The sequence below is a fragment of the Homo sapiens genome, chromosome 7 (genome assembly GCF_000001405.40).
Source record: "Homo sapiens chromosome 7, GRCh38.p14 Primary Assembly".
Lineage (NCBI taxonomy): Eukaryota > Metazoa > Chordata > Mammalia > Primates > Hominidae > Homo > Homo sapiens.
Window position 1 is genome coordinate 26654494 of NC_000007.14, and position 15442 is coordinate 26669935.

Genomic DNA, 15442 nt, shown 5'->3' on the forward strand with positions numbered 1-15442 from the left:
CCTCTTGCAACTTTTCTTGAAAATTAAATTTTAAAAAACCTACTCTTCTATAACCGTACAACTGTAAATGTTGTCCCCTCTAGTCTGGTGTTGAAGATCTCTGCAACAATCAGCCTTCACAGCCCTGCTCCACTGGCCCCCACTTGTTCCCACAGAAATGAAAGACTTGGCATATTTGTTACCATTATACAGTAATCGGACAATCTTTTGTTCAATGCTCTTAATGTTCTTAGAATAAAAACATTAAAAATGCACTTAAAAAAATAGGAATACTCATTACACACAAGCAATAGTTTTTAATTGAGAAAAACAGTCTAATTGAAATTACATTTGTTATGCAGACACTACCAATAATTATCTTGGCTTTAAATATGCAAACACAAAGATTCCTTTTGAATTGATAACTCTTTTCAGAAGTGGCGACTACTAGTTGAATTCAGTGATCCAGGGACCCGTTGGTGATATCAGGTGGTCCCCAGGTGTATCAGATGGCCTCTTAGAGCTGCTGTGGTAAAGCATGTGGCAGTCAGTTACAAGTGATGTAACTAAAGGTTGAAATCCTGTGCCTACTATTGCTCAGGGGTTTTGAGGAGATCACCACTGCTAAAAGCAGTGACTTACAGGTAAGAAGGAACTCTTACAGGATTCCATAACTCACTTGCTGGGCTCAAAAACATTGTGCAAAAGCCTCTCTCTTAAATAGCTCATGGCCAGAGACAACTTTAACACCTCTTCTGTATGATAAATCATGTTATTGCAATTTATGTGACACTAGTATCTACTGTACAGTAACCACTCCAAGTCCTCTTAAGCGGAGGCTTCTCAATATACTGATTTCTAATGCCCCACAAGTGCCATAAAGTGATTGCTGTTGACCATTGTCTTGTTTTAATGTCCCCTAAATAATAATAAACTTGAATGCTAAAAAAAATTATTGTCATTCAGGAATATATTTCTTGTAAACCATTGTATGATGAAAAAAATAAATTTCCCTCTTGGCAACTTAATTTGTAGATAACTGAGGTTGTTTTTAGATAGGAGTCCTACACTGAATTTGGAATCTAGGTGACTGTTTAATGTCATTAAGGGAATATTGTATTGGTTACAATGGCTCAGTAAAGTAACTGGTTTCTATGTGGTTATATCAATCTATTTCTGTAACACCGTACACTAGTTTTCCCCCTAGAGTACTCCTTGTAATGCTGAGAAAGTGTCAGAAATAATGACTGTCTACCTATATCTGCAATAAAACGTAGAGCATGGATATTATAGTTGTAAGTATCAAAGATTTATTTCATGACTGCAGGTAATGATGAATCTTTTAGCACAACTAATGTCTGGAGGAAACCTCTCTTCTTCTCTGAGCTGTCACATGGAGACTATTTATAGGGCCCTTAGTGCTGTGGGGTTTTAGCATAAAGAGGCAATGTGTCTAAGGTGCCACTGGATGGAAATGTTAGCAAGGGCTTCCTCTCATTGAAGATCTTTTAGTAGATGGCATTAGATTCCCTCTTTGTGTGTTTACGTCCCCCCAAAGACAGGGGACAGATGTTTAACATCAGCCTATTAATCCCTTAGCCCAGGTTCCTGTGACAGCACAAACCCAACAGAATGAGCCCTTTGCCTTTGCTCAGTGTAAATGCCGCAATTTACTGCTGATTTACAGAACAGGGTCAGGCCATTAGAAACTTGGCAATCCTCAGTACAGCTGGAAAACAATATGCATGATAAGCTAAAATTCAATACCTTCTTGCACTAATTAAATGGCTTCCCACCAGGACAAAAACACAAATTACAATACAGGACTTTTCTGCATCCCTATGCATTTTTCTACAGCTGTGACCAAGCTTTATTTGTATTTTTCTTTTGGATATTAGGTTTTAATTCACTTCCACTCTTTAAAGATTGTGTTCATATCATAGTCGTTCACTGTGTCATTCCACTGTTATACTGTTTCCAAACAAGTTGATAATAACTTGGTTTCCTCTGGTATGAGCAGACAAGTGTACAAACAAAAACACAGATATGTTCTGAAAGCCTTTCTTGAATCTCCGTTATACAGATGTGCAGATCAGTTACAGCTCTTCTCTTAAAATAAACCAAGAAACTATCAAAAATATTATACAAACCCCAAAGAGCTTATTCTGGAATCAAGACAATGAATCTTATTGCAGAAACTCTTTCATAACAACACAGGACAGTAAAGAGCAGGTAACTGGGTTTGAGAATGAGCACTGCTTTTTGAAAGAGTGGAACTTACAAAGATATTTCATACAAAGAGTTAATATGGGTGAAGTACCTCTTACTTTCTATGGTTCATCTACCAGGATGTGTCTCCGGCCCCAGTGCAAAAAAAAAAGACCTTCTACAAAAGCAAGCACCTATACTCCCAGATTATGAGTCTATGAACCCCACGGCTGCCCGAGATTTTCCTGAAGAGTGAATAATATTTAGATCATATGTGGGTTGCCTCCAGATCACCCACTGAGAAGCAGAAGCAAGATTTTGAACAGCTGGAGGTTTAAGTAAAAAACAAGAATAGCTACAGGCTTTATCTTGGATCCAAACGGTCTGAATAATAATAATAATCATAAAGAAATACCTGGTAACTATAAATCTCATCAACCAATGTAAAAGAACATTCTAAATCTATTAATATTTTCAAAGACATTATCTTTCTGCCACCCCACTGCTTTGTGACTTGTTGTATCAGCTATATTATTTGCCTTAAAGCACCATCTAAGTGTTTTTCTTCCCCTGTGAGGGGAATCTTCCACAGCCTTCGCAAGCTACAGCCCACTGCTCCCCTGCAGGAGGACTGGGGTATCATTAACAACCAAAGACACTTAAGGCACAAGTTGGAACTCCAGTGTTTCCAAACCTTCCTGCTTCCCATCAAAATTCATATCCTGTCACTGTTCTAGGAGCAGAAAGGCTTCTCATTATAGCATCATTCCCCTCTTGCAAAAAACACTGATTGCTGCACTGGTGGCTTTGGAAGGCAAAGATGTAATTTAGCAAAATAATGTACCATGCTGATTAATTTAATGTAGCCCATGACTAATTATGGTAATTCATTACATCTACAATTAGGCTAAGTAATTTATTGCACTGCAGTCTCATAAAGCAGAGGATTTATATCGAGTTTTGAATGTCACCCAAAGGACATTTCTGTACCTTGTCTTTACTGAAGCGGAATAAGGCTGCCAGCTGAGATGAGCCAAAGAAAAAAAAAATCCCCGCCCCCCCCGCCCCAACTTACGCACTGACACACACTTTGCCATTTTTGATGTTTGTATTTTGCAATTGAATTCAAGTGCAAGGAGAGTTTTTCCTGATCTCCTCTTTCTTTCTCCTCCTCAGACTGTGCCTTTGTCATGATTTGGTGTTGTTTTTGTTTGTATGCTGCATACCAATTTCCTCTCTGTAAGCTCTGGAGACCTGACACAGGAAAGTGAACAATATATAAGAAGCTATTGCGGTCTTCCCAAATATTATTTGTAGGCATTTGGCGGTGATCAGAGAAAACGGGTAATTGTGCTACTGAGGTCTGTTGCTTATTCTGCAGATAGTACTGCAGTCGACTTCAACAAAGACCTCATCTTCTCTTTGCCGCATGAAAAGGGGACATATCCCCTCACTTAGGAAAGACGCAAACATAGCATTATTTTGAAATACAGCCTCGCTTGTACCCTGCAGCGGGGTTTGCTCTAGCGATGGGGTACTTTGGAGACCAATTTGTTTAGCTGATCACTGTCTCTTTGACGTGGCTGCAAATGTTACCTTTCTTTTTCAATCAAAAACACAGCAGGGGGTGCCATCTGTTTGGCACAGGCCTTAGCTCACTTCCCCAATGCCTTTTTGTGCAGATCATTTTACGTGGCAATTTGCTAAAATCTTTCATTCCTTGGTTTTACTAAATATAAGTTTCCAAAATGGGCTGTTTTCTCAGAATGTCAGCAAGACTCACAAATGAATGCAGTTTTTCCTGAACAGCCAGTATCAGATCAAATGGAGCATTTTTCAGATTTTTTTTTTAATGAACAAATACCTCACTGTCATCTGATTGTTTACTTAAAACTGACATGTTTACTGAGGATGGTGAAAACACATTTATCCTACTGAATTTCACTTCGTTTTCTTTGTTTGGCTTCTACAGAGGTGCACTGTCACCAACACAGGCATCACAATTTTTAAGATCCTTGAAGAGAATAGGTAATGCAAATGCATAGAGCAACCATATTAAATAGTCATTAGGAAACAACAGCTAGCAAGAAAGTGGTTAACTATTTTCCCCAGCTCAGATGCTGTTCAAAGCAATGAATACCCACCCCCCACCCCCCCACCAACTCCAAGTAGGAACAGATGATCAGCACCACGTGCTGAAGCCACAGGGATGCCCGTGGATTTCCAAGTGCTTTGTAGAATACAAATGAATTATCCTCATTCTTCTCCTAGCAGAGCATATAGGCCAGACCTCATTAGAATTCAATATCACTCTGCTTTTCTAATGTTAATGTACCAGTTATATAAGAAATACGTGTGTTGGTGGGGCGGGGGCTTATTCCACAATTATGTTCGACGTGATATCATAATTCTGAAAACTGGACATAATCTTTATTAAAGGAAATTATTGCATTTTGCCGTTTTATCTTTTGCTTCTAATGTAACTTAAATTCCCATTCTAATAGTGGATTATAAGGGCCTTAATTCTTTGTGTCTCTCTTAAAGCTGCAGTGACTACAATACTACTGGCTTTATGGCTTTTTAAAAAATGCCGTGACTAAAGATCAGATTGTGAGGGCTCCATGTCCATCTCACTGTGAAAGGAACACAGCACATTACATTAATAAACAACTGTAGGAGTTTTCTTCATCCAGGAATAACTCAGGGCATTAAGGCTTGAGGTCTTTTGTCTAGAGTGCAGCAAGAGGTGTAATGAAAACAAAAACACCAACACATAAAAATACAATTTATGCCCTTTTATCAAGTGAAGAAAAAGTTGGTTAACGTTTGAAAAGGGAGCAGTAATGTAAATTTATTGACAATTTTATTGTAATAATGAGATGTTTACACAGTCTGGACATTGTGGCTAAATCACTTCTAGCATGTTTATTTGCAGGGAGCTGTTTTCTGGGCAATGCGGCAGGTTCATTAAGAAGACATACAGTATTAGGATTCAAAGAAACAACCAGCTCCCATTCTCCCCTTCCCAGTTATATGTGTGTGTGTATAGTTTTAAATATATATATACTTATAAATAATGAAGTAAAATACAGAATTCCCTTCATAAGAAAAACAACTTCCCCTGTGGCCCCAAAATAGCTTGAAAATAAATGTCGTATTGGTATCTTAATACATAGCATTAGAAAGACAACCTTTAATCACTATAACTAGCTTTTAATACCTAATGTGTAAATGGTAATCTGTTTTTGACTAAGAATAAATTATGGCAGAGTTTAGGGCGGCTCTTGCTTTACCCTTTTCTTCAAAAAACAAAAAAACCCATGGTAATTGTTTTAGATGAGATGCTTCTCTTCTCAACATTTTTTTAAGAGAAAAAACTCATTCAGAGAGAAATATTTCTCTTAAGCAGCCTCAAACCAGATTAATGGATTAAAATGGCACACTTGAATAATGTGACTAAATTTATCTCTATGTGGCTCTTTCATTTTTTGTGTGTTTCTATACTAATCTTTAATATGCTGCTCTGATATGGTTTTCATGTTTCCAAACTGAGCTAAAATGAAAATGACAGATTTTCAGTTATGCAAAAATAGCAATGAAGTGTCAGTAGAAATACATTGTGAACAACATAATTTTTAGGAAAGATGTGAAATGAGAATAATCTTCTAGCATGAAACGGGTCCAATAACAAAATATTCAGGCAATTATATCAATTTTTAAAATTTCAAAACTGTTTAAAAATTAAGGCACTAAATGCTAAGCTACAATATGTTTCCAGCCTCAGTATACATCCATTAAAATTAAGTAGTATCAATACAGAGTATTTATTGCTATAGATCATAGCTTTAGGAGAAGCAAAGGATGGTATACTTATAGCTTGAAATTCTCTACTATAATCACTTAGGAAAAGTTTAGAAAACAGACTTATCTTTAATCACAGTTGCCACAATTTAGTATAGTCCCATTGTTTTCCTTTATCAAAGAGTATGTAATGATAATAATATAAACACATTATAAAAGTAATAGTTTCCCAGCTTAAACTGGTAAGGTTAAGATGGTAAGAGAAACTTTGATTTTAGAAACCAGTGGTAACAGGTACACAATGTGTCTATTTTTTAAGCTGATAGAATTGATTAATGGTTCAAAATAATCAAGGAATCACATCACAAAGCACCGTTTTAAAGAGAAGTGCTAAGAATTAACTCTATACTACCATGACATCATCCGATGTTACCAGAATTATGTACTACATCACGCTATAGATTACAATTGCTAGACTAGAAAATGGAATCTTCAGCGACTCTGCATAACAAATATACTTAATAATCTTAAATAAACTCAAACTTACTTTGATATCTTCTAAGTAATTCACATGAAAAATGAATTTTTAAAAAATCAGTTCATGAAAGCCATTATTATTTGAAGGAATATGCTCAATTTTTTAGATAATTTAAATTATTTAAGAGTCCTTTGCATCTTTTATTAGCTTTGCCTAAAGTTATAACATTAAAGCATTAAGGTTACATGTAACGAGGTTCTGGTTTGCCCTCATTTCTAGCCCCATATTTTCACAAACTACAAACCAAGATTAGTGCTATATTACAAGGCTAATTAGAGAAAATAAAATTGTGTCACTCCTAGATATGCATCTGATGTTTTTTAACTAGAAAGTGTGTATTCACACACAAACATTCATAGATAGACATCTGGAAGAAACAGTTCATAAAAGGATTAGACAATGGGCAAAGGAAGTCAGCACAAAAATTTTCCTTAGAATGTCAGTTTAAAAAAATATTACAACATATACCTAAAGACTATTATTAGCAGATTGGTGGTTTTAAATATCATGAGAAAAGTTTATTTAGAAACTTTATAGACAGAAGTAACATCTCTGTGATTAAAATCACCATTAACAGAAATTGACCATAGCTTGGAAGTCAATGACTTGATCAAAAAATGCATTGAAAATTAAAGGAGAATCAAATCTCAAACTCCTCTAGGATTATTTGCATCAATTTCTGTTATAAATAATAATACCAAGGGCTCACTAAAATTATTTCAAGTAGTATTACAGCCAATGCTGAGTATCAACATTTTTTTCCCTTGCTAGATTTCGGTGTGAAGGAGAAATTATTTGATCATTGTTTCATTTCAGTTCTCATATCTTTAAATGCAGGAAAGCCATGTTTGACGCTATTGTTGATTTTTCAAGTCACTTCTAAACATAATCTCACTTGAGCCTAACCACAATCCTGACAGGGCAGAGAGAACAGGCACCACTGGTATTCCGCAGGGAAGGAAACTTATTCTAGGGCACAAGGCACTAGAGAGTGAAACTAGAATTTTGGTTGACTCCAATTCCAGTGTTCTTACTACTACTCACTTTCAGCTGAATACTGCTGGTACAACTCTGTCTCCAACTGAAGGAAAAGAGTCCTTACTCCTAAAGGGGTAGGGTCACTCTCAGCTTCCAGAGTTATGTTACCATAACTGGTAGCAACTCTGTAAAAGACGTTCACATTATTCATATACACAGCTCTTTGCTTCCCCTCACACTTAATTCAGGAGCTACAAGCATTTTGGAATTTTTTTAAAAATATTTTCATCTGAAACAATACTGAAACCCTTGCGTTTCCCTCCCCGTTTATTTTTAAAAATACATACATAAGGAAAGATTCCCAGTTTGTTTCCCAGATAATCCCTAAGGTTCAGATATCACAAAATCAGAGAACCTTTTATGTCTTAGGACACTGCTAGTGGCTTAACCTGCTAAGAACTGTACCAAGGTAAGGTTATGTGGGGCTGTCCTTATCCTTCCCTGTGTTTATGCCCTATCTTATTCAGACTATGAATCTACTTGGGAAAGACTATGTCAAATTCTATGTTTGAAATACCCCTTGCACAGGATGGCACTTAAATGTAATTTATTCAAAATGGAATCATTTAATTAGATAGGAAGAAAAATAGCAAGCCCTGAGACGATAATAAAGAATAAAGCAAATATGCTGACCAACTGAAGCAAAGCAACAGAGAGATAATAACACACATTCACAAGATTGCTACATTTCAGGTTTTTCAATTCAGGATGCTTATAACAGGATAAACACACAGTTACACAACTTGTTTTTCTGCTGGGTTCCCAGAAAGCAGAGGGCACACTTGACGTTGTGAACTATGTAGAGCGATAAGAATTGTAACATCTCATGCCTCATATGACTCCAGCTCCTTGGAATAGCCTGAGGAGGAGGAGGAAAGTGGCGCAAGGAGATGAAAGCAGGGAGCAACAGAGACTCTACGGACCACAAGCGCTTGACCTGGGAATTAGGAATTAGTAGGGTATCCTAGATGGGACAGGTTATTTTACACCACTGAGATCTACTTGGGCAGCTGGAGATCAGGGTAATGCAGTCATTCACTCCTTGTCCTTCAGAAGCATGATGTTCTGAATAGTAGGCATGGAAACATTTCAAAGAACTCTACAGAATCAAATACCCTTTGAAAATAGAACTTTGGTACACCCCTTTCTCTTGGGCTATAAGACAGTCAGTACTATAGGGTGTATTTTAGACTATGAGAGGGCTCAATTTTACCACCTCTCTGGTTAAATTCCAGAGCCATAATAGTGAATGTTAGTCCTTACTTATCTCTTAATCTTTTCACTCTCCCCAACCCTCAGCCTCCAATCACTGAAGTACAAAATTATTTAAAAAGGACTTGTTCAAAAAACACAACAGAAGTCTTTATGAGGTCCAGTACAAGGCACTGCTTGGGTGTCCACGGAATAAGACCTTGTACGTACTTATGTATCAGATATTCCAATAAAAATTCTTCTTAAACAAATTCATATCTCAACAAGCAAAAGTCAGGTCAGACATTGCCATCACTCAGTTACAAAATTATACATGTTTTACAATGAAGTTTACTGATGGTACAGTTTGTTAACAATCCTTTATGTGTTTAAACCAATCAATTAAAACCCATCTCCTAAAAAACAACTATTTGAGACAGAAGCAGCTGGATTTGCAGTCCTCTTCAAGGCTCCCCTGGCTGGTCCCTTTACTGGGCTTCACATTGGAGGAGGTGGGAAGGATGGGAAAAGGTCCTTAGAAAAGGGTCAGTTTGGCTTGGTGTCCTCTCTGGACTCTGCTGCTTTGATTGACTTCCTATTTTCATCTGGACTGGAACGTCAAGTGTTCCTGCATAAAAGTTTCGTCTCCATTGCGGATCAGCTGCTTTGGATCTGATATGATAACCATGGTATGCTTTCCTGACTAGTGAGCCAAATTCAGCTATCCAATTGTCAATTATTGGATGATTCTTTTCACATGCTTCAGATTATTTTCTAGAAATGGTGACCTCATCAGTGGTCAACAAGCATTTGTTGTGTGCCTATTATATGCAAAGAATCCAAATAAGCATTTGGTTTTAATTCATCACAGTACTGCGCAGCAGAACAGTGTTCAATTCAGGGCAAGGAGGCTGGTGTGAGGCTTGGTTAGGTAACTCACTACCCTAAGGCTTTGGGGACAAATTATTCAGCCTGTTTCCTAATCGGGAAAATGGTAATGAATAACAGAACTTACTTCATAGGGTTGTTATAAGAATTGAATGAAAAGTGCACAGCATGACAAATAGTAAACACTCAGTAAATGTTAGCTATTACTATTACTAGTCTGACTTAAACTGTTATCATCACATTTGATGTGATAAAGAACACAAGGTTTTCTAAATAGACTCCCATGGGAGCTGGGAGGGGAGGGTAGTAGATGAGAATCTGCTTATTTGTTGGAATTTTCTCCTCCACGAAAGCAGCTGTCTTTAACCAGCATACACTAGTGTCATTAATTTTCTCCTTTGAGAGTACCTGTGTGACACTTTCCTCAAACAAGAAGTAAATTGCAGTTCAAGCTACAAAATGGCACCTGCTTTTACTCTAGCAGGAGTGATATTTTTATATTAGAAAGTTGAGGCCAATAAACAGAAAACAGACAAGGGCTGTGCTATATTGCCTCTCCGAGTAATGGATAACAAAAAAGAAAACTGAAAAGAAAAAAAAAAAAAAAAAAGAGGAGAGAAACCTAGGGAAACACCTTCCAAAGTTCCAGCATTAAGAAAGGTACTTAAGAGATGGGCTTTGGGAGCAGTTTCTATATTCACGCCTTTGCACATAGTCAAGTGTTTTGGCTTGCTCAACTTCCAGCCCCTCTCTCAACACTGAAGACCTAAACTGAGCAGTGGTATGACTAAGGCGACTTTCTGCATTTACAGTTCCTTTCATTTTGGGGACTCAAAGCACTCAAGTTAACATAATCATACAACTTTAAATAAACAGGGAGTAAAAGTTAACAAAAAGGACAAAAGCTAAATTATGATTAGATTTGGCAGCAACTGTGAAACTTCCCACTTACTTGCACAAATTTTTGATCTGCCCAAGGCGACAGCTAGAATGCTTTCAAGATCAGATGCAGGAAAGGCTTCTCTGATATTACGCAAGTGGAATGCAGGGCAGCAGTGATTTGAGATGTTTCACTGGAAAGTGAAAGTAGATCACTTGCCCCAAGCTGCCCGAGGAGGCACCTGTGCCTCTTATTTGAGGTCACAACACTGAACACAAGGGAAGAAAGGAAGGAAACATCTAAGGACAATGTACCACAACTCAACTTTCTTATTATTCACAATCTCACTCAATTCTGTTATAACAATAAAATCCAATCTACTTGTTGATAGTATTATGGGATATACTAACTGTATAAAGGCATTTTCTCTACCAGGTTTACTAGTCAAGCTCTTTTCTTCTTAAATCTCATGTCTTGAGATATTGTGGGGTGCCAAATCAGTTAATTAACAAATATTTACTGGATCCACACCATATAATGTGTACCATGCTGGCAATAAATAATATGTTTGTGTATAAGTAATGGTAGAACAGATTCTACTAGCAGAAACAAGAAAAAGCCCCTCAAACATAGCATTAATGAAATGTCATTCCATGCTACTGTGATCATATGATTTTTAAAGTATTTATCTCATCATAAAATAGTATGCTATCAGAGGTTCTAACAGATATTCTGGAAGAACTCAACTATAAAGCAGTAGGCGTATAATAAACTGGCTAAAGCTGAGATGTCTAGAAATCTCTTGTTCCCAATCCAGAGTATAAACTGTTGTGCATTTGAGTATATATTAAACTTGTATAATAATATTTTAACAATGTAGTACTTATTGTTTCTCTGTATTTTTGAATACTAAGTATATTACTATAAATAAGATCATATTCATCAAATGTTTTTATTTTATATATATATACAGTGTACACACACACACACACACACAAAGTATTCTTTCAACCTTTGAGTGAAGCTGTGTTTTCCATGGCTTGATCATGTTTTGATCTCCACTCTTCACCACCTCTTTCTTTACCATGTGGATTGCTTTCAATAGTCATGAACCTACTGAACTCAAGAGAAGCAAAAGTGATCTCTATATGGTGTGTGTCTATAACTCCAACAAATGAAATACAAATGACTGATTTATCTGAAATTTAGAACTTTAAAAATTCTCACAATGCTTCACTCAGTCTCACTGATGAAGTTCAAGCTCTTAAACAACATGTATATTAGGGTTAATTTTCTTCTAATGGCTGAACTGCAAATCTGAATTCATAATATCTAACTCAGTTCTATTTTAAATTATGACCCTGGATAGTACCAGTCTATGAATAAGTAGCAAGTAGTAGAGTGCAGAAATTACATGAAATTATATAAAAAGTAGAAATCATAAGAACTAAGAGTGAGCCTTTGTACACATTTAAGAAACAGTTGAATGGATGCCCTACTCTTTGTGCAAGGCTATATTCAAAGTGGTTGTGTAATGATAGCAAAAAGTGAAACAAAACAAAACATGAAACAAAAACGAAACCCCATATATATGGATTTCACCTACACATGGTTGAAAAGTGATTTCTTTTTCCCATGGTCCTATAATACTTTATGTAATTATCTGTAATTAAATTAGCACACAGTAAAAATAATCAGCTTCCAATAAAATAAAGTATTCAAAACAATTGCTGGACTAAATGACATTCTTTTTCTATGAAAGAAAGTGTCATATGCAGCAAAGTGGCAAAAATAGAACGGAGTGAGCTGTGTTAAGTGTAAATCCTAAAGCAATGAAAGTCATTTGTATTATCCTTACTTCTTTGAATAAATTCAGATGACAGCCCTATTTCATTTCTTCATTCAGTTTGGCGGCCAGATGGCATTAGAATCATTTACTTCACCTTGTTGTGCTTAATTACTACAATCAACACACTATTTTCCAAATTAATCATAACAAAGTAATTTCATTAGTAACACAGCAGGCTGTTGAATTATTAGCATCATAACAGTTTGCAAACAATTAAACTTTATTTGAACCTTAAAAATTTGCAGAGTGGAACATTATTGTAAGATCTAATGGCAATAGAGTACAAATTCAGTACAGAGCAAATAATCAAGCAAAATGCTATATAAAATATGACTTACAATCACCTTTGAAAAAAATTAGCTCTCTAACTGTTCACAGAAAAACAAATAAAAGCTAAGCAAACATAATGAGACCATAGCAATTAGCATATTTTCTAACAAGCCATGTTGTTTAAATTTATATTAATGATATTATTATGATCTTGAAGAGTATGTGATATATTGTCAAGGGTGTAAAGAAAACTCTCCCTGGTTTGTATACAAATGATTTCATCAAATGAATATAAAGCAGTCATGAATTGAAAGTAATGATTATTTGTCCTGTCACTCCAGTTTTAAGTCTTTTCTTTCCTTTCTTATGTCTCCCACCTATATTCAAGTTTTAAAAGAACAAAGGCCGGTGGAGATCTGAACAGAAATAACACCTTATTTCTGTATTGTCACTGTTCACGAGACTATCTGGCTTGGAACTGTTGGTCATCAGTTGGCAAAGGACTCCCTCTCCTGGATTAACTGTAAAAGGAGGCAGAAATCTAGATGCTTTCCATCATGGGCGAGTTTGTGCCATGGGGGAAGGGTTTCAAGAGGTTTTGTCTGCAATGAAAAGCTGCTGCCATCTACTGGCCTAGGACTAAAAACTTCTTTTCAACCCAAAGCACAAACCCAAATCCACAAAGGCTACATTGTCATGGGAAACAACGGCTTTTGCTTTTCAGCTGCTCAAGTTTTGAAAACCAGTCCACTAAAGTCGTCTTTGGTTGTCTAACTTTTGCCAAGATAATTTCAGTCTATTTCAATGGCACTATATGAGGAAAAGGTAAGAACTGCACAAATGTAACTTCTGAAAACTTTAACTTCACAATGTCTCTCTATATAAACTTGTTTACTCACAATCCCTAAAATCAAATTTCTTTTTTTTTTTCACATTTGAGATTGGATGATCATGATATTGAGGGGGTAATGGTAAAGCAGACCCTCTCAAACACTGCTTATAAACAGTTTTACACAAATAATGGAGATTTTAAAATATTACCAGCTCAGATACATGTTTAGAATCTTTATAAAGCAAAGATATTGAAAAGTTCCATAAAGATAATACCTGATAGGTAATGATTCAATATTAGGAGTTTATGTGTAGTCCAAATAATTATCTAACCAGCAATGCATTTTGACATATGTTAAGGCTACATTGGTATCTCATAGGTATTTTAAACACCTCTGATTTCAAATATACATGAAAAGGTAATTATATGATTCTACAAATCTTGCTCAGGCAGCACAGAGTATAACTCAAATGTCAGGCTAACACTACCTTTCTACTCACCTGTTGGTACATGCTACCACTGGGATTTCTACACTCTCCTCTGCAAACCCTTCCTTTCTTTTCAGTGCTCTGAGAAGTATATAGAAAAGCCTCAAATCTGCTGTTCTGCAGTGGGATGTAAATAGTATAGCAATAAGGCAAGATAAGAGAGTGCTTGGTTATGCCTTTTTACTTTGAGAATACACTGAGATTCTGTTTTTTTTTTTTTTTTTTTCTGAGATGGAGTCTCACTCTGTCGCCCAGGCTGGAGTGCAGTGGCGCGATCTTGGCTCACTGCAACCTCTGCCTACCTTGTTCAAGCAATTCTCGTGCCTTGGCCTCCCAAGTAGCTGGGACTGCAGGTGAACATTACCACACTTGGCTAATTTTTAGTAGAGACAGGGTTTCACCATGTTGGCCTGGCTGGGAGATTCTTTATACCATTTTGTTAGTGGTAGGGTGGTATTTCTTAGGAATTTTTTGTTTCATTAAATTTAAACAAAAGTACAGTAGAAAATGTTGCCAGGCCCATCATCGCACCAGGATATTTGTACGGTAAAATGCTTTGCATGAGTCATACTTCTGGTACGCACTTCTGTTGCAGGTGACAGCACACTGCCATTTGCAACTTCATCATTTTTTCTTTCTTGCGGCTGTACTTAATAGGAATTAAATGTGTGAAAATAAATAATAACAATAAAGTTATCTATAAAGTTTGAACATTCTTTAGCATTCTTTGTTTAGCAACCACATTCTTCAGCATCTACCAAAAAAAACTCGCATGATACACTAAATTTAAAATGCTATGAAATTATACATTACTCTCTAAAAATAATTGATGTCCAATGATTAAGAAACATTACAAATCACACCAGAAGTAGCAATAGTAGCATACTATGCTATAGTAGACTATATGTTACGTATAAAATAGTGATGAATTCTTCACACAAATCAAATGGGTAAATAAAAACTATAATTATTTCTTTGCAAAATAGCAACAGGTATAACTTAACTGGTTGCATCTAATTTACATTAATATCCTTCATTTAATTTCACATCAGAGGAATATTTTAATGAGCGACTGCATAAAATAACAGTCAAAGATAAGTAATGTTTAATAAAACAAGGAGAGGTTAGGAGCTGTCACTCGTGCTTTCATGACGCTTCTAAATCCAAAGCATTTGCAGACAAGCAGAAGAATTTTCCTTTTCTGCAGGAGAAAGGGAAAGCTGCATTTTAATTTTTGATTCAGCTGAAACTTGATTTTTCCTGCTTAAAAAAATTACACTTTTAGCCAAGGAAAAATGTATTTTTACTCAACATTTTGTCAATTCAACTCTTCAGAAAGGCCATAAAAAGTGGTATTTTACTGAAAAGGAGGAAGTTTGGGAAAACAGCTGGTTACTATCAAAAGAACTTTCTCTAAATAATCTATTCATTTCCAAAGTAAATTCCATAAAGTTTTTATTTTAAAAATTCTTATTTTAAA

The 15442-nt window shown here is 36.0% G+C and overlaps 1 protein-coding gene across 4 annotated transcripts in view; it reads right to left on the bottom strand.

Moving 5' to 3' along the window:
- Positions 1–276: 276 nt before the first annotated feature.
- Positions 277–15442, bottom strand: part of SKAP2 (src kinase associated phosphoprotein 2) — a 209821-nt gene continuing 194655 nt past the window's right edge. For 3 of the 4 annotated variants that reach the window (NM_003930.5, NM_001303468.2, XM_047421010.1), the window contains one exon: positions 12575–15163. The gene's annotated coding sequence lies outside the window, so the exon portion shown is untranslated. Of the gene's footprint in view, positions 3442–12574; positions 15164–15442 lie in introns of those variants that run through there. The other variant, XM_017012771.3, reaches the window with a different exon arrangement.